This window comes from Homo sapiens, chromosome 1 (assembly GCF_000001405.40).
Source record: "Homo sapiens chromosome 1, GRCh38.p14 Primary Assembly".
In the NCBI taxonomy this organism is placed as follows: domain Eukaryota; kingdom Metazoa; phylum Chordata; class Mammalia; order Primates; family Hominidae; genus Homo; species Homo sapiens.
In genome coordinates, this window is record NC_000001.11 from 230407791 (window position 1) to 230435457 (window position 27667).

The 27667-nt window shown below is 44.9% G+C and overlaps 1 protein-coding gene across 1 annotated transcript in view, besides 4 other annotated features; it reads right to left on the reverse strand.

Annotated features, from left to right (window-relative positions):
• PGBD5 (piggyBac transposable element derived 5) overlaps positions 1-18542 on the reverse strand; it is a 111843-nt gene extending 93301 nt beyond the window's left edge. Inside the window, exon 1 of the mRNA NM_001258311.2 lies at positions 17808-18542. Coding sequence (NP_001245240.1) covers positions 17808-18138 — 331 coding nt within the window. The 5' untranslated portion in view covers positions 18139-18542. The remainder of the gene's footprint in view (positions 1-17807) is intronic.
• Positions 18489-18808: a silencer, noted in NCBI's record as "silent region_1940". NCBI's record gives its function as "represses an Ori minimal core promoter by ATAC-STARR-seq in GM12878 lymphoblastoid cells {active_cell/tissue: GM12878}" and the evidence as "EXISTENCE:reporter gene assay evidence [ECO:0000049][PMID:35858748]".
• Positions 18489-19164: a biological region, named in NCBI's record as "H3K4me1 hESC enhancer GRCh37_chr1:230562153-230562700".
• Positions 18617-19164: an enhancer, noted in NCBI's record as "H3K4me1 hESC enhancer chr1:230562153-230562700 (GRCh37/hg19 assembly coordinates)". NCBI's record gives its function as "activates a minimal SCP1, AML or CMV promoter by ChIP-STARR-seq in naive H9 embryonic stem cells {active_cell/tissue: H9 hESC(naive)}" and the evidence as "EXISTENCE:reporter gene assay evidence [ECO:0000049][PMID:30033119]".
• Positions 19165-19711: an enhancer, noted in NCBI's record as "NANOG-H3K4me1 hESC enhancer chr1:230562701-230563247 (GRCh37/hg19 assembly coordinates)". NCBI's record gives its function as "activates a minimal SCP1, AML or CMV promoter by ChIP-STARR-seq in primed H9 embryonic stem cells {active_cell/tissue: H9 hESC(primed)}" and the evidence as "EXISTENCE:reporter gene assay evidence [ECO:0000049][PMID:30033119]".

Sequence of the window (27667 nt, forward strand, 5' to 3'; positions counted from 1 at the left end):
GAAACAACTGCATGCAGAAATATCACAAGTAAAAATTATAATCGGGGCAACATCTGAAATTTACTCCTAAAAATATTCAAAGAATACCTCTAAGCAGTGAACCAAGGATTTGTTCATGGGTTTGTGTCCATGAAACTGCATCATCCTGTGGATTGGTCAAATCCTCAAGTCTAGGAGATGAAAAGAAGGTAAGTCTTTACCTTAGAGAGCTACTGCTGGAGAGAATGGTGGAGACGTCACTGGCAGAAGTACCCTGTGTTCACAGTTGTAGCCCAAATTGCCTTGCCCAGTCCCCAGTCCCAACTGAATCGCTCTTAATTTTCACAAATGTGTGGTAGAGTGACTACAGGTACAATCAAGCCACTGACAGCATGAGAGGTTATTATATCTATACTACATTGTCAACCTTTATAATTTTGAATCTAATACAGTATAAATTTTTTAAACAAAATTTCAGGCAGTACTCTTGTATCCTAGAAATTCCTTCCATAATTGGCTTCGTCTTGACTTAAGCAAACATTTACCCACTTGGACAAAAATGTATATTTGATGTATCTTGTATGTATGTATGCATGTAATGTAAAAGAACAATCAATCTCTGGGACTGAGTATGATAAAAGTTAAATAAGAATTCCTGATATAGAAGGTCTTGTTGAGGGGAAAGTAGTCTTACCTGGGGAAATAGCATACTGTTTTCAAATGACTGTAGAGCAATACATATTTTATTGCGAAGTAGTCAAGAAGAAAGGGACAGTTATTAAAATAGAAAATAAATTACAATCGATTGATTTTTGACCATAGGTGTCAAAATAATTCAATGGGGGAAAAGCAGTTTTTTTCAATTAATGGTGCTGAAGCAACTGAATATCCACATGCAAAAGAAAAAATGGAAACCTTACATCATATACCAAAAAAACTCAAAATAGACCAAAGATGTAAATGCAAGCATAAAATGATCAAGCTCTTAGAAGAAAGCATAGGGTTAAATCTCAGTGATTTCAAACTTGTCAGTGGTTTCTTAGCTAGGACACCAAAAACAAGCAACCAGAGAAAAATAGATACATGGGATGTCACAAAATGTACAACTTTTGTGCTTCCAAGGACATCATGAAGAGAGTGAAAAGACAACCCACTAAATGGAAGAAAAAACTTGGAAGTCATATATCTGATAAGACTATATAAGGAATATTCGGAATATATAAAGAACTCTTACAACTCAATAAAAAGACAAATGACTCAATTTAAAAATGGGCAAAAGACTTTGATAGACAGTTCTCCAAATGGGATATGCAAATGGACAGTTGGCATATGAGAAGATGCTCAACATCATGAGTCATTCAGGAAACACAAGTCAAAACCTCAATGAGCTTCCACTTCACACCTACCAGGAAGGCTGGAATCAAAACAACAGGCATTAACAAGTGCTGACAAGAATATGAAGAAACTGGAACCTTCATACACTGCCACTGGGATTGTAAAATGGTACAGTCACTTTGGAAAACAGCCTGGTAGTTTCTCAAAACGTTGAATACAGAGTTATCAGATGACCCAGCAACTCCACTCCTGGGTATATACCCAAGAAAAATGAAAACCATGTCCACACGAAAACCTGTACATAAAGGTTTTGCCATTATTCATAATAGCCAATAGGTGAAAACAACCCAAATGTTCAACTGATGAATAAATAAAATGTGGTATATACACTCAATGGAATATTATTCAACAAGAAAAAGGACTGAAATACTGAGACATGTGACAACATGGATGAAGCTTGAAAACATTACACTAACTGAAAGAAGCCAGTCACAAAAGTCCACATATTATGATTCCATGTATATGAAATGTCTAGAATAGGCAAAGCTAAAGAGACAGAAAGGAGATTAATGGTAATTTAGATGGCTAAAGTTTCTTTATGGGGTGATGGAAATAGTTTCACCAACTGTGAATATACTAAAAGCCACTGAATTGTACACACTAAATGGCTGAATTATTTTATAATAAAGCTGTTACTAAAAAAATGGAAAGTGAAGAACTTCCATATTATCAAGTAAAAAAAAAAGGATAAACAACTTGATCAAAATATCAAAAATGGGGAAATGAGAAAAAAAGCTGAATCAATAAAATAAGGTGGAAGAAATAAAATCAAGCCTGTTTGTTATTACTTTAAATGTGTACATATTGATTTATCCAACTAAAGGGCCTATAAGGTTGTGTTAAAAATATATATAAATTTATGCTGTTCAAGAGACATACCTAAAAGGACAAATAGGGTTGAAAATAATACACAAAACAAGGAGATACCAGGCAAATGCAAAGAAGAAGGCAGGGATGGCAAAATTAACAGCAGACAAGCTGGACTTGAGCTTAAAGGCACTGATGGATAGAGTGGTATTACTAAATGCATGGTTTTGGAAGAAATATAAAAGGTAGACGTATGTGTGCACCAAATAATACAGCAACTAAAAATTCTTAAAATTCAAGAACATGACAAAAAGTTATTTCTCAAATGAGAATATTTCCCAGAGAGAAAATAATAAAGACATGAAGAAGAGAAATAGATCAACAGATACCCTTACTTCCCTCAAATAAGAATATATATTTTTTCTTACACCTATGCCACATTTTTAAAGATTAACTGCATATTTGGCAACAAAGAAAACCTTTGCAAACCTTTAAAATTAAAAATTTAAAGGATACTTCGTTGATCACAATCCAATAAAATGAGGATTAAATAATCAGGTAACCAAAAAATCTTAACTACTTAGAAATTAAGAAACATATTCTTAGATCAAAGAAGAAATCAAAAGGGGAACTGGAGGATATCTTGAAAGCAAGGGAAAAGAGAACACTTCATATCAAAATTTATAGAACACTCCAGAAGATTTACTCTGAGGAGACTTTAGTGTCAAATGCCTTCAATATTAATGAAGGTATTTTACAAATAAAAAGGAACTTTGCACTAATCTTAAGCAATTAGAAAAGGACAGCTTCTACTTCAAAAGGAAGATTTTACAAAAAAGATAAAAGTTCAAACTAATAAAAAATAAAAAAGGACACGTAAGCCCAAAGCTGGCTCTCTGAAGAGACCAATAAAATAGAAAAACCCCTCAAATGCCCAATTAAGCATAAGATAAAGAAAAGGTGAGTGTGGTGGGGGTGGTGAGGGGAAAGGTAGGGGAAGAGTAAAGGAAAAGGGAGAGAGGCCAGGTACAGTGGCTCACACTATCTGTAATCCCAGCACTTTGGGAGGCTGAAGTGGGAAGACTGTTTGTGCCCAGGAGCTCAAGACCAGCCTAGGCAACATAGCAAGACCCTGTCTACAAAAAATTAAGGAAAAAAAAAATTAGTCAGGTATGGTGGCACACGCCTGTAGTCCCAGCTACTCAGGAGGCTGGGGTGGGAGGATTGCTTGGGCCTGGGAAGTAAAGGCTGCAGTGTGCCATGATCGTGCCATCGCACTCCAGCCTGGGCAACAGAGCACAGACCCCCATCTCAAAAAAGGGCGGAGAGGGGAAGTGAGGGAGGATGTGCAAAAACAGACAAGATTATGATTGAGAGCAGGTATAAAAAAGCAAACGCAGTAGAAATTTTTTAAATCATTAAAAATATATACTGCATGGAACTTCATGTCAACAAATTTGAAAGCCTTAGAATAAACAAATGATTTCCTAAATATAAATCATCAAACTGATTCAGTAAGTGGAAAAAATCAGAAAAAGTCACCATGACCAGACAGGTTCACAGCTGAGTTTTATCTAACCCGTGATTCTACTATTAAATGGCAAAAGGCAATTAAGAAATAATAAACCAATTCATTTATGAAGCCAAGCATAATTTTAATTCCCAAACTTGAGAGATGAGAAATTATTAACAAATCTGGCTTATGATTGATTTGTTACAGAAACTCTGAACTAATATTAGCAAATAACATAATTCAGCTGTGTATCAAAGAGAACTACATACTGAGACCAACCTGGGTTTATCCCAGGAACATAAGGGTACCTCAGTACCAGGAAATCAATAAAATTCACTTCGTCAACAAATTAATTATGGAAAAGACTACAGAATCATAGGAATAATAGCAACAAATGCTAAAAAGGCATTTAATAAAAGTTTTTAAAAATGAAGTAAAATAGAAGATATTCATGAGAAGAGCTTGACAAAAGGTATATAAAACAAACCCGTATTTGTTAAACAATGAACTCTCCCCCCAAAAAGAAAAACCCTACACATGTACATGTATGCAAAAATGTGTTCATGTATGAGCACCAAGTTTTCTACATGGGTTATGTGGACAGAGATAGAGAAGGAGAAGGGAGGGAAATTCCAACAAAAAAGGGAAAAGGGTCAGAAAAAGGACTCCAGTCAAGAACCATGTATAATATTATATTAATGCTTATCAACGAAATTACAGTTGGCCCTTGAACAATGCAGGGGTTAAGGGGTTGACCCCAACCCAGTTGAAAATCTATGTATAATTTTCAACTTCCCCAAAACTCAACTACTAATAGCCTACTGTTGAGTGATATTAAGAAAATCATAAGGCAGAAAAAACATATTTTCTATTCATTAAGGGGAAATGGATCATCCTAAAGTCTTTTTTTTTTTTTTTTTTTGAGACAGAGTCTCGCTCTGTTGCCCAGGCTGGAGTGCAATGGCGTGATCTTGGCTCACTGCAGGCTCCACCTTCTGGGTTCACACCATTCTCCTGCCTCAGCCTCCCGAGTAGCTGGGACTACAGGCACCCACCACCACACCTGGCTAATTTTTTGTATTTTTAATAGAGATGGGGTTTCACCATGTTAGCCAGGATGGTCTCAATCTCCTGACCTCATGATCCACCCTCCTCGGCCTCCCAAAGTGCTGGGATTACAGGCATGAGCCACCGCGCCCGGCCCATCCTAAAGTCTTTATCCTCATCATCTTCACTGAGTAGGCTGAGGAGGAGGAGGAGGAAGAGGAGTGGTTGGTCTTGCTGTCTCAGGGGTGGAGGTGGAAGAAAATCTGTGTATAAGTGGACCCACCCAGTGCAAACCTGTGTTGTTCAAGAGTCAACTGTATATATTTTCGCATGCATAATTTTTTTAAAGATTGCATGCAATATCACAACGACTAATAAAAAGTCCTCCTTTTGTTTTTAAATCCACAACCACCACCTGCCTTCCCAGTCCAAGTTTCAGGGTAACATACAGTAAGTCATTAACAGGTTCTTGGAAATTGTGACTTTAAGCAAAATAATGTAAGAAAACCAGTATTTTTTCTCATCAACATTATAACAAAAAGACATTATTCAAGGGCCTGCGGTACATTGTTTTGCTTAAAGTTGCAGAAGAACCTACTGATGATGTTAAGTGAGGACTTACTGTGCTTTGTGGTAAATATTACCTTCAGTTGCACTCCCTAATGGAAATATGAATCAGACTACTGGTGGCATGCCGCTCAGAACTCAGGCACAGCCATCCACACTCCCACCCGGAACCAGACTCCCAGCTTGCCAACCTCCCTATTCTGTCTCAGAGGGAGATATTCTGGAGCTGTTAGGGAGCAGAATTTCGAGCAAAAAATTAGGTATGGTGGCACACACCTGTAGTCCCAGCTACTCAGGAGGCTGGGGTGGGAGGATTGCTTGGGCCTGGGAAGTAGGGGCTGCAGTGAGCCGTGATCGCATCATCGCACTCCAGCCTGGGCAACAGAGCACAGACCCCCATCTCATAAAAGGGCGGGGAGGGGAAGAGAGGGAGGATGTGCAAAAACAGACAAGATTATGATTGAGAGCAGGTATAAAAAAGCAAATGCAATGGAGATTTTTTAAATCATTAAAAAAATATACTGCATGAAACTTCATGTCATCCTTTGGTTTCCCTTGGTACCATCTGCATCTATCATGTTTTCTGTGGCTCTAAAGATGCCTTCACGCTGTCTCCTGCTGGGTGTTCCCTTAGGACCTAGGACAACCTGCTCGTGTCAGCACCTCTTACGCTGCATCACAACTATCTGTGGATCGGCCGTTTGTCTTCACCACCAGGAGTTATGCTGTTTGAGGGCTAGAACCTCTGCTTCTTATCAATCCCCAGTTTTTAACATAGTGCCTGGTGCAGAGTAGGCACTCTATAAATATCTGCCAAATGTATGAAATGTATTTGAAAGAAGATATGAAGCCTACACTCAAAAACTTCTCAGGGCTGTTCTACTTCCGTTTCATGTTAAAATTTCTACCTCTGCAGCTGATAAATTGATGGGGTGAAGGAACGCTGGCACACCCCAAGGTGCATGTGACTTAGGTTAGTCGTTTGGGATTACGAACATTGGATCACTCTTAGGAGCCCACCAGAGACAGTACAAAGGGTACTTGGCTGAATGTCTCCTGTGTAGGACCCTATATAATCCCATCTGGTGCCTGGAGTCACCCCTCTGGGAGATGACAATCTAGAGGCAGAGCTGGGACCAGTGTCTGTGTGTCTCCAAAGCTCTGTGCACATCGCAATGCCTTTCTGACAGGCAGAACCAAAGACAGCCGCGGATCTTCCCTCCTTCCCACCAAAGCATCCCACACACTACCTTCAGAAATGGGGGCTGCACTCTCTCAACTATTCCAATTTCCCCAGTGTCATTTGCCTTCTTCCTAAATTTACCTAATCTTTTTCAGAATGTTTGTATTTCTTCTCTGCTACACTTCTGGAAGAGACCGAGTCTATACATTTATAATACAAGGTGTGAGTTTACCCTTGCTATTATTTACCTGTAATTTACCTCTTTCGATCTTAAAGAAAAACAACTGTTGTCTCAATTTCCAATGAGGTTCTGTTCCAGGTCTCCACTGGCACTCTGAATGCACATCCCCCTAAGATGCCACAGGCTGTGCTCCAACACCCCAGCTCGCCTAAGAAAATGCAGCCAAGGAAAACACACAGGCAATTCAGCTGAAATATCAGCACTAAAGAGCAAACCAAATAGGACATTTGTATTCACCTTCGATGCTGGGACCTGAAGGAAGCAAATGTCATTACGTCAGATAAGGAAGGAGATGAAGACTGCTTTACATGTGCATTCTGAAGTGAATGTCTACTCACAGAACCTCACGTCTTCATGTGATCCACACCCACAAACTCAGCAGTGGAATTCCTGGGAACACTTATTTAAGATGGCACTGGTGGAAGATGTCACCTTCCCCAAACGCATAAAGTGCTCAAATAAGCCAGGTGCAGTGGCTCATGCATGCAATCCTAGCACTTTGGGAGGCAGAGGTGGAAGGATGGCTTGAGCCAGGAGTTTCAGACCAGCTTAGGCAACATAGTGAGACCTTGTCTTTACAAAAAAATTAAAAAGAATTAGGTGGGCATGGTGGCGCCTATCTGTAGTCTCCGCTGAGACTGCAGTCTTAGACTGAGGTGGGAGGACTGCTTGAGCCCAGGAGTTCAAGGCTGCAGTGAGCTGTGATCACACCAGTACACTCCAGCCTGGGTGACAGAACGAGACTCTGTCTAAAAAAAAAAAAAAGTGCTCAAATAAGAAAGATGCCCACTAACCACTCTGGGTGATTCCACTTGTTGACAGTCTTTCCTCCCAGAAAAATCTCCCTGTATCCTGATCCTTTATATTCTCTTTGTAACCCTGTTTCTCAAACTTGAGAAAATAGGTCTCTCCTTCTTCCCTATCTGGTTACTCCTAAGGTGACAGATTCCATTTGCAGTTGCTTTTGCCAGGGAAGCTTGCTGGAGGCTTTGAAACATCAAAATTGAATTTATCTACTGGCTTCCTGTCTGCTGCCTGGCAGAGATGAGTGCAGTGACCACTTCCCAGTGAGGCCTGTCATCTGCCCATGTGGGTCTCTCTTCCCCCATGGGCAGGCAGATGACAGACCTCAGTGAGAACGTCTGCTTACGTTGCACTGTTCAGAAACCAGGCAGCAGTCCCATCTCACTCCAAGAGGTGCAGCCATTTCCCAGAATACAAGGCAATGGGGGAAGACAGGTTTGCTATGCAATGATCATCTTTGGTTCAGAGCCCTTTGCAAGGGACTTGTTATAAATTAGTTGATCTGACCCACATATACCATGTTCCACACTCATTGCTCTAATATGATTCTTCCTAGTCCCTTAATCAAAGGGACCAGTCTACTCTTGAGCACTCTGTAGCTCCACTTCCTCATTTTAAAAATAGGGATAATGACAGTATTCACTTGACAGGATGGTTGTGAGGATTACATAAGTTAGAAAGTGCTTAGAAAAGCATCTGCATATAGTAAGTGATATACAAGCATTTGTTAAATGAATAAAGGGGTGCAAGCAGCTGGCTTCCCTGTAAATTCCTCATAGATTCCTGCCTATCTTGGGTGTCTCTGGGCCACCAGGAAGTGAGCAGGTTGTAGAAGCTCAAGACTGTATTAAATTCCCCAGTAGCCATCAAGTTTGGTCTTCCAACCAGGACAGAAATCCTCATATTTGGTGGCATTGGTGTCTCTGGGGTAAGAAACTCACTCCTTTGTGGAGCTGCCCCATTAACTCTTCCACTATTTTGGATGTTGGAAATGCTCAGCTTGTGAACATTTTTTACCGGCACCGAATCCCGTACCCACTTAAAAATCTACTTCTGCGTCCATCTATTCCTTTGTTCATTCAAGCATTCAAAAAAAACTGAGCACCTGCCACATTTTTACCATATACTGTGACCAGAATGTCCAAGGTCTCCACACATGATAAATAAATTAGCTTATGCAGGTGGCAGTGAGTGCTAGGAGAGACCAGAGGGAAGGTAGTGATTTTAGATGGGTAAAGACAGTGACACTGGAAACAAGACCAGGCCAGCAGGCAAGGGCTGCCGTTCGAAAGTCAGGAAGAACATTCCGGGCAAGGGCCTGGCAGACAGAAGATCACATGGCCAGAGACAATGGTAGGACGCGTGCTACAAGGTGACAATAGAGAGGAAGACCAGGGTGGACCTAGAGACCCGGAGGCCATGCTAAGGAATCTGGATTTCCCTTCGGTTTGGATGGGAAGTTACTGGAGGAGTTTAAGCAGAGAAGTGAGTATATGAACTTGTGTTTGTAAAACATCACTTTTCCAGCACAGCCTGGGGAAACTGAAACCGGGGCAGGGGCAGTCAACAAAGGTGGAGGCTGAGAATCCAAGCGGATGAAAGCCCCACCAGCCTGGCCAAGGGGTGATGCTGTCTTGGCTACGGTTGGCAGCAATGGCAATGATATAAGAAGTGGAAGGATTTGTAGTTCTAAACTTTTTCATGAAAGTAACTTCTTAAATATATGCCTAAATGTGGCCGGTTTTTCATTCTTTTGTAATAATTCTTCCTGCAACTCACAAATGAGGGGAAGGAAAGTTCTTTATACCCTGTGGGAGAATAGGCAAGCATTCCTTCTCCATAGTCAGATATTTCAGGGATTCCAGTATTCTCCCACCCCCAAGATCATGTTGTATTTCCTCTCACCAATAAAGGTCTTATCCCATTCCCTTCTGCTGTCATTTTCCCTCCTCCTTCCTTAAAGGAAGGACCCCGGTGCTTCTCCATGGATTCTGCCCTAAGTACTCATTTCTCAACATGCTTGGCAAATCCCCCTCCCTGTGGGATCCAGGGTTTGCTACGTAAATCTACATCCATGCCTGAACCTGGAGTTTGGATTCTAGCTACAGTTACTTGCAATAGTAATAATTATAGGTGTTAAATTTTAAGATATTTTCACTAAGAAAGTCTCAAGTAAGGAAGCTCAGTTTAGGGGCCAGTGCGACTGCCCACGGGCAAAATGGCACGCCTTCTCTCCCCTTTGCTCAAATGGCTCTCTTGTTTGAGACACTTTTCCTTCCTCTTCACCTGACTAGTTATTTGTTCTTCAAGGTGCAGCTCAGGGGCCACCTCCTCCAGAAATGCCGCCTCTTCTCCAACCCAGCTGGAGGAAGTGAGGCACCTCTGGAATCCCATAGAAATCCATGTTTTCCCTGATCACAGCATTCACCAGAGACACTTATCTCTTTTCCTTCACTCTGTCTCTCCTATTGAACCCCAGGGGACATGTCTAACTTCTCGTTTTATCCCAGCAGGGCTCAATGTGCTGGCTGAATTAATAGGAGGCACATCTCATCCATTGCTGGTGGGAGTGTAAATTGGAAAACTGCTTGGCAGCACTTCCTAAAGTAGTGGTTCTCAATACCTGGTGCTTTTGCCCCCCCAGGGGACATTTGGCAATGTCTGGAGACATGTCTGTTTGCTACAACTGGGGAGGAGGGGTGCCAGTAACATTCAGTGGGTAGAGGCCTGGGATGCTGCTGAACGTCCTGCAGTGCTCAGGACAGCCCCCCACCAGCAAAGAATTATCTGGCCCAAGTTGAAAGACCTTGTACTAAGGGTAAATATACAATGAATCCATGGCCTAGCAATCCCACTCCTAGGTATACATGGCCCAAGGAAGTGATGTATACAAACATCAAGAAAACATGTACAAGAACGTTTGTAGCAACTTTCGGGTTTGGAAACAAACCAAAAGTCTACCGATAGGACACCAGGTAAATAAACTGTAGTACAGTTGTACAGTGGCATACTACACTGCAATATAAAGATAGGACTGCTCTATGCGATATGGATGAATCTTACAGGTAAAACAATTAAGTATTGGTGATGAACTCAGAATAATGGCTACCTCTGGGGACAGGGAGGTACTGATGGGAAAGGGGCAGGTAGGAATCTTCAGGATGCTAAGAATGTTTTTCTTTTTTCTTTTCGAGATGGGGTCTCACTCTGTCAGCTTGTACCACAGTCTGGAGTGCAGTGGTACAAACACAGCTCACTGCAGCCTCACCCACCTCAGCCTTTAGTGTAGCTGGGACTACAGGCATTCACCACCACGCTTGGCTAATTTTTTAGAATATTTTTTAGGAAAGGTGGGCTCTCTTTGTGTTTCCCAAGATGGTCTCGAACTCTTGGTCTCAAACAATTCTCCCACGTCAGCTCCCAAGTGGCTGAGATTACAGGCTAGGCATGAGCCACTGCATCTGGAACTAGGAACACTCTTTACCTTGATCTGGGTGGTAGTGACACAGGTATACCCATGTAAGAATGCACTGTGCTGTGCACGAATGTCTCATGCAATCTATGTGTGCTATGACACACATAAGCTTCATTATATAAAGTAATCCTCTAGAACACTTAATCATTCCACTGTTGGTGGGAATGTAAATTAGTGCAGCCACTGTGCAGAGAACTTTGGAGATTTCTCAAAGAACTGAAAGTGAACAATTTGACCCAGCCATCCCATTACTGGGTATATACCCAAAGGAAAACAAATTGTTCTACCAAAAAGACACATGCACCCATATGTTCATTACAGTGCTATTGACAATAGCAAAGACACAGAATCAACCCAGGTGCCCATCAATGGTGGACTGGATAAAGAAAATATGGTGCACATACACCATGGAACACCACGCAGTTATAAAAAAGAAGGAAATCACGTCCTCTGCAGTGACATGGATGCAGCTGGAGGTCATTATCCTAAGTGAACTAATGCAGGAATAGAAAACCAAACACTGCATGTTGTCACTTAGAAATGGGAGTTAAACATTGGGTACACATGGACATGAAGATGGCAAAAATAGATACTGGGGACTCCTAAAGGAGGGAGGGAGGGGAGCAAGGTGAGAAAAACTACCCATTAGGTACTCTGCTCACCACAGGGTGATGGGCTCAATCAGACTCCAAACCTCAGCATCACACAATATACCTTTATAACAAACCTGGACATGTATCCCCTGAGTCTAAAATAAAAGGTGAAAAGTAAATACAAAATAAAATAAAACAAAATACTCCTCTAAGAGCCATCTTACTCTTACTGGTGGGCATCGCATACCGGTTTGCTGCCTTGTAAGCAGGATGTTCTAATGGACTCTCTGGGGTACTGCTGGCAAAGGCATAAAAAGGTACATTTCTGGAAGACTCTTTCACAACAGATATCAAAACCCTTTAAAATACGCAAAATCCTTACCTCAATATTGCTTTATCATTTGATGCTAAGGAGTAAATTGAGGATGTATATGTAAGCTTAAGCTTCAGGCCAGGCGTGGTTGCTCACACCTGTAATCTCGGCACTTTGGGAGGCCAAGGCAGGTGGATCACCTGAGGTAAGGAGTTCAAGACCAGCCTGGACAACATGGCGAAACCCCATCCCTACTAAAAATACAAAAATTAGCCAGGCGTGGTGGTGCGTGCCTGTAATCCCAGCTACTCAGGAGGCTGAGGCAGGAGAATCACTTGAACCCAGGAGGCAAAGGTTGCAGTGCACCAAGATTGTGCCATTGCACTCCAGCCTGGGCAAAATGAGCAAAACTCCACCTCAAAAACAAACAAAAAAACAAACTTAGGCCTCAACTATGTTCACCACAGCACTAATTTAACAGCAAACAAAGGGGAGAGAGAAGTGGGGCAATAAACTCAATCCTAACAAAAGGGAACCCTAGAGTATTATAGATTCAGTGAAAACATCTTTTTAAAATTTAAATGGAAAATGTTCATAATATATTAATAACAATTAAAAATCAGGTCCCTCAACAAAATGTAATGTAAGATACATGAAGCACATATTCTGTATGTCAACTGTGGTTATCTCTGGGAAAAGGAAGGTAATTTGATTTTTACAATTTTTGATGTGGTTTGGCTCTATGTCCCCACCCAAATCTCACCTTGAATTGTAATAATCCCCATGTGTCAAGGGCGGGGCCAGGTGGAGATAACTGAATCATGGGGGCAGTTCCCCCCATGCTGTTCTCGTGACAGTGAGTGAACCAAGATCTGATGGCTTTATAAGCATCTGGCATTTCCCCTGCTGGCAAATTCTCTCTCTTTGCCTGCAGCCATCCATGTAAGATGTGACTTGCTCCTTCTTGCCTTCCACCATGATTGTGAGGCCTCCCCAGCCATGTGGAACTATAAGTCCAATAAACCTCTTTCTTTTATAAATTGCCCAGTCTTGGGTATGTCTTTATCAGCAGCATGAAAATGGAGTAATACAATTTTTATCCTTTTTCTTATTTATTTTCTAAAATGAATATATGTAACCTGTTAATAAGAAAAAAACATACAATCACAGTCCTTAAAAACAAAGGCGTGAGCAAGGTATGGTGGAATGCACCTTCAGTCCCAGCTACTCAGGAAGCTGAAGCGGGAGGATCACTTGGGCCCAGGAGTTTGAGTCCACCCTGGGCACATAGTGAGACCGTGCCTCTAAAAAGAAGTCTACAAAGTGAGTTTTGGACTCTAAAACTAGGTTAGACCTCACCACCTGTTCCAGTGTATGCAAAGCCCCACCTCCTGAAAAACAGCTCTGAGTACTCATTAGGACAACTCGGGACAGCAAGGATTAAACAGGGAGCTAGAGAAAAATCCAGATTCTCCTCTTCTGGAAGGCAGCTACGCCAACCACTATACCACCAACACCCTGGCAAGATTCTACTCTTCTGTATCCTGTTTGTGGTATCGATTACACAAATCATGAGTTAAAACTCACAGAACTGTATCCGCTTCCCCCCAAAACTAAAAGCAATTCATGTATAACCATAAAAATAAATATTTTTTACTGAAAAAGGTTCTAGTAAAAGAAAAAAAAGGCACTACATTTCCTGAATTATTGAGTCTGACTAGTTAGATGGTGATCACTTAATCTGGTAATCTCATCACCCCCGGGAAAGTGAAGGCAGCAACTTCCTTCCCCAGTCACATGGCAGTGGCAACTTCTCGGCCACAGAGTCCTTGTGAAGACTGAGTTTGATAATAATGCATGAAAATGCAAGTGACAAATGAGAACTGAGGGTTAGCAGTAGCAGCTCCAGTTTCACCCCCTACATGAACAGACTCCTGGGAAAAGAGCAAAACAGCTCTCCCAGGAAGCTCCCTTCTCTGAATTCTGTGCAGCCACTGCAAGATGACACACAGTCTTGCACTTGATTACTATGTAGCTTTGCCTAAGATTATCTTGCAGCTCACCAAGCTTCAAAGTTCCTCCTGGAGCCACAGAATCCTGTACAGAGCTAAAGGTAGGAGCAGCTTCTTATACTTAACACCATAGACAGGGTTCCAGGTCTCTGAGTTCACAAACCCCTTTAGAGCCAAGGGTCTCAGTTTAATTCTGGTTTTGAGAGAAAGATTTTTCTTTTTATTAAAAAGGCTTTAAACCAACAACAAACTGTAAAGATAAAACATTCAACAATGTTAATTTCCAATGCTATATGTTTCTCTCCAGCTGCTCAAGGTCATACCTCCCCACTGAATGATTAGAGGGTTGCTGAGATGGTAAATGGGGGGAAAACACACACATACACACACACAAATATATATATATATTTTTCCCTCTCTCTCTCTCTTCTATGAAGTCTAACCTCTAATAGAAAGAGTGAACAGCTCAGATCCCAGCCAGCCATGACAAAGGACTGACAAACCAAACAGACGAGAGCCCTTGAGCATCTGTGAAATCTGTCTGTTCCTCTGCCTCCTCCGAGAAACGAATCACAAGACTGCTCAGAATAAGAAACCAAAAGGGCAGAGGCTCAAAAAGCAGCCGGGCCTGAATTTCATTCTGTTTCCAAAGAGTGAGCTCACATGCTGTGTTGGTTATTTGCACAGTGGGCAGGCAGGCTGACAGCTTGAGGGGGCTATTTTGGGGGGATATATGCTGCAAGTCTGGTTAAGAGAGGGTCCTAGGCTCTGCACTCCCAGTAGGCATTTCAGCTCCCAGGCAGATCATGCATCTCCACAGGGGTTAAGAGCCCAACAGCTAGCCCGACAAGCATAGCGTGTGCATTTAAGTCATCCCGAGGGAATCCACACCTCAATGCACAGCCAGAACCTAGGGGAGGTGAGAGAGGAGACAGAAGAGTGGGCAAGGGCCCTCTCCACCCATAACTACTGGCCGCACTTCCGGAGGAGCTGATCTAGGAAGCTAAATACGCTGAAAAACAGAAGGAAAGGGCTGGGAAGACAAGAACAGCCTGAAGAATGGCGAGGATTTCCCACCTTAACTACAGAAATGTTGCTTTTAGGGCTGGCACGGGAACTAGCACTGCTTCCTCCCTCTCCCAGCTGGGCACCAAGTATCTCCCTACTGTGTGCACTCCCTTATGGTGGGGGTGGGGGGATGTGGCAACTCCGACTACAACTCATAATGGTCCCCAGTGTCTACCTCCCTCATGCACAGCGACTCTGCAAAGGTTTCTAGGTCATCAGAGTTATCTTTCTGATTAAAAAAAAAAAAACCAAAAACCTAGCACAAGCAATACACATTTGCATACAATACCCAGTTACATACACACATTTACATACCCGCACATTTCCATAAAACACATTTATGTACATACACATATACCTGTTTTTACAGTTGCAGCAAGGCAGGAAGCCTCTATCAAATCTCGATTCTGTGCTTTCCTCATCTGATTCCAGCAGCAAGAGCAATTTGAATTATAAATTTTCCATTATAAAGCCTGATTAGAGATCAAAATGCCACCTGCTTACTTTCCTCCCTACCCCACTCTACCCATGCAGTGAGATTTGTTAATAAACAGGGAACAAAGATGGAAGAGAGATCCAGGCTGCATTCTTTGCAAGTGGGGAGCGCACGCTTGTCGTAGCGTTTTAGATACTGTGCTCTGGTAAACCCTAGCAGGCTGATCCTCTTTGCTCCCCAAGTGGCCAGGATGCAGCTCTCAGCCTCTTAATAAACACATCCATCTCCCTCCACACTGGTAGGCGCAAGGATTTTCTCTGACCAAACCCACACTTCTGCATCTATTTTCAGCCCCCATAAATCATATTCCATTGTTTTGGAGAAACTGAATTCAAGTTTAACAAGCCATCAACCTCATCCCTCCATTCTCCACCACTCCAAATTTCCCTCAGGGAGAAATTTGCAAAGAGGAAATTCTAAATCAGATGTGGAGTTAAAAGGCAAGCTCCCACACAGGGCAGGAAAACAAAACTGGGTAAAAATACCGGCAATAACCACTAATGTCTTTGGTTAAAGGACCTGATTCTTCGGTCCAGGTGTGAACTCAGTGGGCATCTGCAGGAAGCAGAATTTGAACCTAACGCTAAATGACACACGATCCTGCTCTTCATGACCGTAAGTGCTGCGGTGGCTGGATTAAATGGCTCTGCTGCAGAATTTCTCCCATTTCAAGGTTACTAAGAAATATAAGATGGATTTAAAATTTATTTGTGTGCTCACCCTTCTCACATCAGCACATTCAGGATTCTTTTTCATAACTAGGCTTGACCTAGCACAAGTTCTCTATTTCGCCCTGAGACACGCAGAGACTTGCTGTGCAGTCCCAGGTGGACCTGGATCTCAAATGTTCCAGGATCGAAATTACATCACAGATGCTCACGGCATAAAGTCTGCCAAACCAGGTCTGTGGACTGGTACAATTCTTAAAGAGCCAATAGGAAAACAGCTGTCTAGGGCCAGGAGACCTTAATGACATCCTGGAAAATATAGGACAGTATAAAAGGACTATAGAGAGTCAATGATTTTGAAAATTCCCAAGCTCTTAACTACAGCCCAAATGCACATGCTTTAAAATGTACCCACCCCCAAAGCAGTGCACAGCTAACTGTGACTTTGCAAGCCCAGCTTTAGCTCCGCGCATCCACACCGCAGCCTGCCAGAGGTCTGCAGACCACTCCCTACTCAGAGTCCAGCTAACCCTACCGGCCTCCCAGCAGGCTGCAGCATGATGCCCAGATCCAAGTCCAGGCACCAGCTGGAGGTCCCTTGGGCCTGCCTTCCCATGTGCCGTGTTCCTGACCGGTTGAACAATAATCAGAGAAGGCCACAGGAAAAGCCGCATCATGCCCACCGCGGCCACTCCCTGGCCCTCATCAACACCGGTTGCGCGCACTTCTACGGAAGAACACAGCATGCAGGAGCACGGGCCTGCTACAGAAGGCCGTGGAACAAGAAATACCAGCATGAGAGGGCGGCTGGTCTGCAGCTTTCAAAGAAGGCAGAGGCTGCGGAGCTTCTGCAGAGGAAGTGGTGATATTTCAACAGCCAACTCCCACAAAAACAGACAGTGAAGAGGAGTGGGGCAGCCGCAGCTGCCAGCACCCTAGCCACCTTCTCCAGGTATTCGGGGCTTGTCTGTGGCCACAGTGGTAAGCAGGACACACCTGAAAGTACCTTCTGGCGGAAAAGCAAGCACCTTAACGCTGCCCAATCGGTCCCTTCCTTCACTCCTCCCCATTCTTAACAAGAGATCTGGAATGGCGCGGACAGGGAAAGTTTCTCAGATTAAGGAGAAAACTAAGCCAAGTCAAGACGCCGCGGGTGGCCTCTCTCTCAACTCTCACTGGGCCAACTCCTACCTGCCTCGCCCGCGTCACCTGCTGTAAGGCTTGCTCTTGGGCTGTCAGTGAAAAAACGACTCCCCCTGCCTCCACCAGCCACGCCGGGCTTTCAGAAAAGCCCCCTCAACTAGGAAAGCCTAACTTCAATCCACCCCTAAAAGTCCGACCCACAGGTGTGACAGACTTCCCATGCAGGGGCTGGGGTGCTCCCAGGAAGTGAAGGAAAAGGTCCCCGACGACATTGTCACTGGAAAAGTGCTGGCCACGGCCTCCGCCTTACCCTCTCCACCCACGGGTTCGGAGCCCCCAGGAGCAGTCAGACCGATCACCGCTCCTGCAGCCTCATTTGTTTCCGGAGAGACACCCACAAGCCAGCCCACGGAGAGTCTGGACTCGCCCGCCCCAGCACCCACGCCTCCCCCGCGCCCGGTTCCAGCGCCGCCCCCGACATCCACCCGCGGGCAGCCCCTTACCGCCGGTATCCTCGAAGCGCGGGGGCGGGCGGTCCCGCAGCGCTGCGCTCCAGCCCGCGCCGGCCTCGTCCTCCTCCGGCTCCTGTGCGTCCGGGGCGCGGGGCGGTGGCGGGGCGGCCCCTGGGGGTCCCGGGGGCTCGCGCTCGTCGTCCGAGGAGGCGGCCGAGGAGGAGCGCGAGGCGGCCGAGGTGCTGTAGAAGGGGTTCCCGCCGCTGTCCGGGCCGGACTCGCCGAACACGTCGTCCGAGATGTGCAGGCTCTCGTAGCGCGCGCGGGCAGCCTCGAGCAGCGCCGGCGCCCTCCTCCGCGCGCCCCCGCCGCCCTCGGCCATGGCCCCGGCCGCCGCCCGCGCGCCCGCCCCCACAGTGCCTCCCAGCCGCACACGCCGGGCCCTGGGCCCGCGCCGCGGCCCGCCGCCCCCCACCAGCGCAGCCCGCAGCACAGCGCCCGCCGCCCCGTGCCCGGCCGGCCCGCCGTCTTGGCCGCCTCGGGCCCAGCGCCCGGGGAAGCGCCCTCGGAGCTCGGGCGCCGCAGGCTGCGGGCCGCGGCGGGAGGCGAGCCGCGCGCGGGGCTGGCAGGGGCGACCCAGAGCGGGCGGGACGCAGAGGCTGCGGCCGAGACCAGGCGCCGCCGCCGCCACCGCCGCCACCACCGCCACCACCGCCGCCGCTGCGTCTCCTCGGCGCCCGCCGCCTCCCTGCCCGCCCTCTCCACGGCCTCCGGCGCTCGGCTGCCGACCTTCCCGGGCGCGAGCCGCCAGAGGCGGGCCCTGCCGCCCCTCACCTCCCGCCCGCCGGCCAATGGGGAGCCCGGCCCGGACAGCCGCGGGGGAGCTGGGCGGGCCCGGCGCGGGGAACGCCCCCACCCTCCTCCGCGGGGCGGGGCGGGGCGCGCGGCCGGGGCTGGCGGTTAGGGGGAGGGCCGCCGGCGGCAGTGCCGGTCTCCTCCTACAGGGACGCGCAGCCCGGGACCGCCACGCGCAGCGCGGGAGGGGGAGGGCGGGACCGGGGAACAGGAGGGGAGGGGGACCCGGGTGCTTCCAGCGGTCCGGGCCCGCGGACGGAGTGCGGGCCGATCCCGCTCACTGTCCCCTTCCGCAGTCCGCGTGCAGCTCCAGGGAGCTGTCCGCCCCGGTGGTTCTGAACCAGGCGCCGCCGAAACGCTCCAGGTAGGCGGCGGGCCCGAGGTCACCACACCCGCGGCGGCGGCTGCTGCCGAGGTTTCCTGGGGGTCACTGCCAGCTGCGCCGCATGCTCCCATAAATACAGGGGCTGTCCAGCTTCTGGGAATCTCGCTCTAATTAGGAGCCCGCCTCGCCGGTCCACTGTTGGTCGCTGGTCAGATGCTAACTCCGTCTCGCTTCAGTATCCCTGTAATTTAAGGGTGCCAGCACTGGAGTTAAGTAGCTAGTCATTCCTCATCATCGTTGACGTGTGGCATCTTTTGAACTCAAAATATCCATTACTTCCAAATACTAATTACTCTCACACCTCTATTTTAATATCTCCTTCACACACACACTTGAAACACTCATGTACTGAAATATTGCATGATCACCCAGGCTTCAGTGCTCTCATAAACAATAGCACAGAAAGGTTGCATCCGCCCCTCTTCCTTGGGCAGGAATGTGTGGTGGTCATCCTGTTGATGGCGATACGCGTAACGGAGACTGCCTTGTCTTCTTGCTCCCCTCCTCCTCCTTCGAATAATGCAATAAGTCACACTAATGGTAAATGGGCCATAAAGTCACTTTCACTCTGAAATAAAATAAATCCTCAGAGATGTGAAGGGCTTACAAATCCTACTGAGCATTAACTAAATTGTAGTTACATGAAACAGAAAGGCATGTTGCGATTTCTACGAATGCATAAAGGATGAAGGACCATTTTGCCGCCAAGTGGGGTCACTTCTAGTGTCGAGCAGGAACCTTCACTCATGCCCTCCCCTCCCCAGCCCCTGTGGTTCCTCCTTCCACATCAGGGGCTCTGCACAGGCATAGGTTCATGATCATCACTAACAGACAATATATAAAAAGGAAAAGATTCATGGAACTTTCCTTGCTATGTGGATTGGCTGAAAAATGAGGAAGTGCTTGCAAAGCATTTTTACTCTCTTGGAAGAATTATGCCACGGAAAATATCTGGTTTCCAACATACCTATATACTGTGCTAACCAGCTGAAAGTTGTTGAAGAGAGTACAGGTAATCTGACTTATCAAAAAGGGTGATAGTAAAGCATAGGTTGAAGATGCAAGAAGAAGAGTAAGACTCCATAGCTCAAGTTCAAATTCTGCAATTAGGAATTGTGTGAGGCTCCTGCAAGATTTCATGTTATCTATTTTAAATAGTTGAATGGAAAAAATAATTGAATGGGATTCAGAGAGTTAAAATCTGTAGGAAAGAGTTCCTTCTTTTCTTCTCCAGCTAGCCAATGAAAAAGTCAACAGCTAAGGTACGTGTTTTAAAAACGATGAATTGCTTTGCTACCCATAAGGAACCAAGGAACAAAACAACAGCAGTGGCAAGGATGGACAGAGTCTTCCGGTGTCCCTAATTTGCATTTGTATGGTGCTAATTCCCAGGAAACCTTGGGGCCTTGTGCTTCCTAGGCTCACAAATGCTTGTAGCTCACACCACATGCAACACTGAGGAGAGGATTATATGGACACAAAAGAAACACTGAGAAGTCAAATTGTTACTTCAAAGCTTGTCCAATAAAAATTAGATGAATATTTCAACTTAGAGTGAAGTATTTTATAGCACTTACATTTGTTTAAGCCAGTTTCCAAACAAGAAAAGTAAAAACATTCCAACCTTTGAAAACAGATGACTGCTTCTCACTGTGGTAAGAGAAGGAGTGAGGGGACAAAACAATTGCAAAACAAAAGCTTTCTCCTCTGGCTGGCATCCTCCTATTTGATAATGACGATTATGATTCTACATCATTAACTTTTATTAGTAACATCATTTCTGAGAGTAATTATAGAATATATATCACACTGAGATCTTTTAACTTTGAGTCATTTGAAAACATCTTCCAAATAATTTAATTATAAAATATAATTAAATAATTTTAGATTAATATTGAGCTTTTGGTTTTATGGTTTTCCCAAACAGCTCAAGGTAGTAAAAAGCAATTCATTTGTGTAGTAGATTCCTTAGGTTTTGTTAAACCAATGGTTCATGCTTTTATGTAACTAGGGCTAAGCACCATATTTCATTAAGTCTAAACCTCCTTTCATGGTACAGTGAACCATTGTTTTATGTATCACTAAAAAAGAAAAAAGTGCTGCCATAGGAAACTATGATACAATGGTTCCTTTTCTGTTCTAATTATAATTTAAACTTATTGAAAAAGCTATTTGATCATAATTTTTGGACAGATTTTTATTACGTATCACTCTATTGCATGCATACAGATAAAATATAAATTAATTGATTAAAGTTTTCCGAATTTCACATTCAGAATCTCACTATCCTTGTTTACTTTCTAACTCAGAGCTGTCAATGCCCAGGTTTTCTCCAGAATATGCTCCTCCAAGTCACTCAGAGCATTTGGTATGCTGCATTTCTTACACAAGTGCTCCTAACTCATCCAAGCTACTGGCCTCCCACTCTATGTGTCCCCCAAGCAGGAGCATGCTAGCTGTGGTCAGCCAGCACTGAGGAGGCAGATGACAGAGCTGAGAGAGAAGTGGTAGCAGATGAAATCAAAGAGGAAGTTGGGTGGGTGTTAAATCTTGCAAGACTTCAGATTTTATTTGGAGTGATATGGGGAGGCACTGGAGAGCATAGAGCAGAGAAATAAGATCTTGATGCTGATGTTTTGTTTGTTTTGTTTTGTTTTGTTTTGTTTTACCTAATCCAAGGTTTTCATACAATAACTAGATTCAATTTCCTTCTTCCAGTGGTTCTCAGCAGGCCTGTGGCCTGGCACACCAAGGGGTATATGAGGTCAGGCATGTCCTAGGAATAGCAATGAAGTTGGCATAGACTCAGACTCTGTTAACTGCACAGGGATTTTCACTTGCCCAGCACCAATTATAAGACATTCCTGATGTTAGTGATGTGAAATATGAAAAAAAGGAAGTGGGCATCTTAGAAGCCATCGAATACAGTATATATATTTTTCCTCGGCAGTTTTACAAGTCTTGATTTTGCAAATAGTCAAGCTGTGGCAGGACACAGAAATGAACATGAATGCTAATGTGGCAGAGAGTGCCCTGGCCAGCTCCAGACTGCACAGGCCAGATGAGGCTTGAGAAGTCTGCGTGTTGCTGGTCACTCTGGATGGAGACGGCAGGGATGGTGTCAGTGAAGCTGCTGCTTCTCCCCATGTTGCCTTCATCACCCAAAAGGAGGGGGCTACAGCCAAGGAGAAGCTCCTGGGGCTGCGAGAGGGTAGGGGGAGAAAGAGTGCAGCTGCTGGACAGTGGCCCGCATGTTGGGGAGGAGGTCGGAGGAGAATATGCGTGGCACAGGGTGACATTTGGGGTCATATCTAATGCAGGGACCTAAGGGTCCAACCTCTCTCACAGTGCTTTTATGTGGTAAATTTATCTAGGAGCCAACACAGAGAGGCAGAAAGAAGGAAATAGGACAATCCTCTGGAAAACTCTCGAGAAAATTCCCTTGTGTTCAGATTGAGATGATCTGACTTTTTCATTGATTGATTGATTCATTCATTCACTCACTAATTCAACAAATATGTATTGAGTCCTATTATGTGCCAGGCTCTCTTCTAGGCACTGGAAATAAATCAGAGAAAAAGAACGAAGACCCTGTTTTTATAGCACTTACATTGAAATGGTGGCGGGGGGTGGGGAGAGAAGAGACAAAAAATAAACAACCCAGTAAATATGTATATACCTGTTGTTGATAAGAGATAAAAAGTAGAGGGACAGAGACTGATGGTGGTTGTGATTGTGGTGGAGTGTGTGTGTGTGTGTGTGCACAAGCTTGTATAAATTGGTTGGGAGAAGTTGCTCTGATAAGGTGACATTTGGGCAGAACCTTCAATGGATTAAAGAAGCAAGCCATGTGCATTCAAGGATGAGAAACAAGTGCAAAGCACCCAAAGCAGGAGCACACTAGCTGTGGTCAGTCAGCAATGAGGAGGCAGATGTGGTTGAGACAGAGATGAGAGGAAGTGGTAGCAGATGAAATCGAAGAGTTGGGTGTTAAATCTTGCAATACTTTGTAGTTTATTTTGGGTAAAATTGGGAGCCACTGGAGAGCATAGAGCAGACAAATAAGATCTGGCTTGCATTTTAAGGGCCTCTCTTTAGCTGCTTAGAGGGAAATAGATTGGAGCAGAGGAAAAGTGGAATCAGGAAGACCAGTTCAGATACTATTGCGATAGTCCAGGCCATAAAAGAGGGTATTTGGGACCAGACTGGGAGTGATGGAAGTGATGAGAATTGGTCAGATCAGAATATGTCTTGAAGGTAGAACCCACAACTTTTATGAAAGAATTAAATGTGGACAGTGAGAGAAAGAGATGAGTTGAGAAGGACTCCATGGTTTTGGCTTTGCTCTTGTTGTTTGCATGGGCTACTGCAAGAGCAGCAGGATTGAAAGGGAGGAACAATAGCTTGGTTTTCAGCTGTAGAGTTTAACATATCTGAGTGGGTCTGGAAAGCAGGTAGTTGAAAACAGGAATCTGGAGTTCATCCAGGTCTAGGCTGGAGGTAAGATTGTGAGTGCCATCAGCAGATAGATAGTAGATACATCTTGTTTGCTTTGTTGTTGTTGTTGTTGTTGTTTTGAGACAGTCTCATTCTGTCACCCAGGCTGGAGTGCAGTGGCTTGATCTGGGCTCACTGCAACCTCTGCCTCCCAGGCTCAAGCAACTTTCCTGCCTCAGCCTCCCAAGTAGCTGGGATTACAGGCACCTGCCACCACGCCGGGCTAATTTTTGTATTTTTAGTAAGACGGGGTTTCACCATGTTGGCCAGGCTGATCTCAAACTCCTGACCTCAAATGATCTGCCCATCTCGGCCTCCCAAAGTGCTGGGATTACAAGCCTGAGCCACTGCACCTGGCAGTAGATACATCTTGGATGAAACCACCGTGGATGGAGCATAAATATGGAGGAAATGGGTGTGAGGGGGATTCCCAGAGCACATGATTTCTAAACATGAGGCAGATGAATCACTCAAGGAGACTGAGAAGGCTGGAGAATTGAGACAAAGTAAAGTCCTGGTGGCTAAGAAAGTATTTCAAGGAGGAATACTTTCAAATAACTGTCAAATGCTGCTAAGAGATATAAGAAGAGGACTGAGAATTAACTTCTGGGTTTGTCAGTGAGCAGACAAAACTATGATTGGAGTGGATCTGAGAATGGGAGAAGAAATGGGGGTATTGAGTCAATATAAAGTTTGAGGAGTTTTGCTGAAAAGGGAGGAAGAAAGGGGAGGTGCCAAACAGGACTAAGGAGTTGAGGGAGGGATTTAAAAAAAAATCAGATGTTTGAATGATTGTGGGAATGTTTCAATAGAAAGGATATGGGAGAGATGCTGGAGAGAAAGGGAACAGTTGCCAAAGCAAAATCCTTGATTGCTTGAATGGTGGCGAGTTGGAATGCACAAGTAGAAGGTTTGTCTTATTGCAGAAGGCAGTGAAGTAAAGACTTCGTGCAGGCACATTCCTAGATTTAGTGGAAGTCTGCTGTGGTGTTCTTTCCTTACTGATTTGATGTTCTCAGTGAAGTGGGAAGTCAGGTCATGAGCTCTGCCTGATGAAGGGAGGGCGAGGAGTTTAGCTTCCGTTCTTGGCTGTACATTAGGATCACCTGGGGAGTTTCAAAAACACATATCCAGGGCCCTGATCCACACCAAGTAAATTATTATTATTACTATTATTTTTGAGACAGCGTTTCACTCTGTCACCCAGGCTGGAGTGCAAAGGCACGATCTCGGTTCACTGCAAACTCCATCTCCCGGGTTCAAGCGATTCTCCTGCCTCAGCCTCCCAAGTAGCTGGGATTGCAGAAGCCTACCACCACACCTGGCTAATTTTTGTATTTTTAGTAGAGACAGGGTTTTACCATGTTGGCCAGGCTGGTCTCAAACTCCTGACCTCAGGTGATCTACCCGCCTCAGACTCCCAGAGTGCTGGGATTATAGGCATGAGCCACTGCACCAGAGCACACCAAGTAAATTAGATTCTCTGGAGGTGGGACCTGGGCACTGGTGTGTTATAAGGTTTCTGGGTGACTCAACAGTGCAGCCAGAACTGAGGATCCCTGGGCTAGGAGTTTGAGGAAAGAATGTGTGGAATAGTCAAAATAGCTATCTAGGAGAGTTCAAGGATCAATGGACTAGAGAGAAACAATCTGGATTTGTGGTTGAGAATTTAACCTGAAATGGGCCACCATCGTTATGTTTCTCTCTAACTGCATTCAGTTGTCAGGCTCAGAAACAGGGTTGACAATGGATTGGGTTTTGCCAAAGTGGGGTTTTGACACATATGTATGGCGGAGTGGGAGAGTTTGAGAGATTGATCCTAATGATGGGCATGGAATCTGTGCCAGCAAAGGAAGCAAGTGAGGACTTGGGGGAAAGAATTAAAGTACATTAAATGGAGGTGGGTACAGTGGCTCATGCCTATAGTCCTAGCACTTTGGGAGGCCGAGATGGGCAGATTGCTTGAGCCAAGGAATTCAAGACCAGCCTGGGCAACATGGTGAAACCTCATCTCTACCAAAAAACAAACAAACAAACAAAAATTAGCCAGGCGTGGTGATGCATGCCTGTAGTCCCATCTACTCAGGGGTCTGAGGTGGGAGGATGGCTCGAACCCAAGAAACAGAGATTGCAGTGAGCCATGATTTCACGACTACACTCCAGCCTTCTAGCATGGGTGACAGACCCAGTCCCTGTCTCAAAAGAAAAAAAAAAAAAAAGGAAGTAGTTGGGAGATAGATAAATGGCTTCTTATCATGAGATTTTTTTTTCTATTTTAAGTTGTTTAGATAATTAACATTTTCACAAAGTAATTTAAGGCAGCTAGACACCTGCGAAGCAGCACAAATAACTCTGATTAATGTTTCAACCTACCTTTTTTTCCCAGGGTTTGAAATTAATTTTTTTTCAACAAGCAAACATCATGAGACATTTAGAGTGAAGAAAAAAAACATTTTGGAAAATATTATAGATCTTCCTATTCTTAGATAATGGGATAATTTAGTGAGCCACTGCTGATTCCAAAGCCCCTTTCCCAGTTTTGTAAGTTTGTCTTGTGTCTCTTCCCTGTCCCCTTGGCTACATCTTCCCACTTTAAACACACCCAACCCCCACTCTACTTGTTCCCCAACGAAATGAAGGGCTCTGATACAAGTACCACCCCTGAAGTGCATTTGCCTGTAAAGGAGAAATTGCAGGTTGGTGCTTAACACAAATGAACAAAGTGCTTAGCAGTAGGATCCCAGGTATTCTAAGAAGCGGAGAGGGATACTCCTAGCTGGGAGCCTTTCATAGCACTCCTGAATTCACAACCTCACGGATGGCACAAGTGCAACTTAAGGTCAACACTGGGTTGTTTTTGTTTGTTTGTTTGTTTGGTTGGTTGGTTGTTTTTTGTTTTGTTTTTTGTTTTTGAGACAGAGTCTAGCTCTGTTGCCCAGGCTGGAGTGCAGTGGCGTGATCTCAGCTCACTGCAAACTCTGCCTCCCAGGTTCAAGCGATTCTCCTGCCTCAGCCTCCCGAGTAACTGGGATTACAGGCATGAGCCACCATGCCCGGCTAGTGTGTGTGTGTGTGTGTGTGTGTGTGTGTCTGTGTGTGTATGTTTAATAGAGACAGGGTTTCACCAAGTTGGCCAGGCTGGTCTCGAACTCCTGACCTCAGGTGATTCACCTGCCTCTGCCCCCCAAAGTGCTGGGATTACAGGCATGAGCCACTGCGCCCGGCCAGTAGTGGGTATTTTTTAGAAACAACATTTGGTTCTTTACTGAAGGCTAACAAATGGAAGTCCATAAACATAATAATCATCTTTAGTCAGAGGCAGTGGCTTGTGCCTGTAATCCCAGGGCTTTGGGAGGCCAACGCAGGAAGATCCCTTGAGGCCAGGGGTTCAAAACCAGCCCAGACAACATAGTGGGACCTAGTGTCTAAAAAAAAACAAAAAAAAGTAAAGTTTTATGTATGCTTTATGTATACCAGAAACTGTGCTCAATGATTTACATAGAGTATCTGGTTTAACCCTCACAACAAACCCTACAAGATCAGTATGCTCGTGACCCTCATTTTGTAGATGACAACACTTAAGAGAGGTGAAGTCAATTTTCCAGTGTTGTTCAACTAGTAGACAATGCAGTCAGAATTAGAACTCAGATCAGGCAAAGTGGCTCAAGCCTGTGTAATACCAGCGCTTTGGAAGACCAAGGTAGGAGGATCAATTGAGTCCAGGAGGTCGAGGCTGCAGTGAGCTCTGATTGTGCCATTGCTCTCCAGAATGGGCAACTGAAGAGATCCTGTCACAGAAAAGGAAGAGAAAAGAAAAGAACATAGGCAGTCCAGTTCCAAACTGAGCTCTTAATGGAGGCTACCTATAGTTTTTTGACTGTCACCTGCTCCCTATCCCACTCCTACTTAGGGACTATCAGCAATCTCTAAATCACAGTGGCTGTGCATGAGGAGTAACTGCTGGCTTTAATAATTTATACCCAGGATGGAAGGGCTGACTCATATGTTCTGCTTCAGCTTTTTCCTCTGCCCAAGAAACTATCCATCCTTCAAACCATCAATATTAATTGTTGTTCAGGGATGAATTAAGCTGCAGCGGTCACACACAGTTTACTGTCAACCATGTTTCTTTCAGGAAACCTAAACATCACAGCATTCACTTGCAGATGAGAAG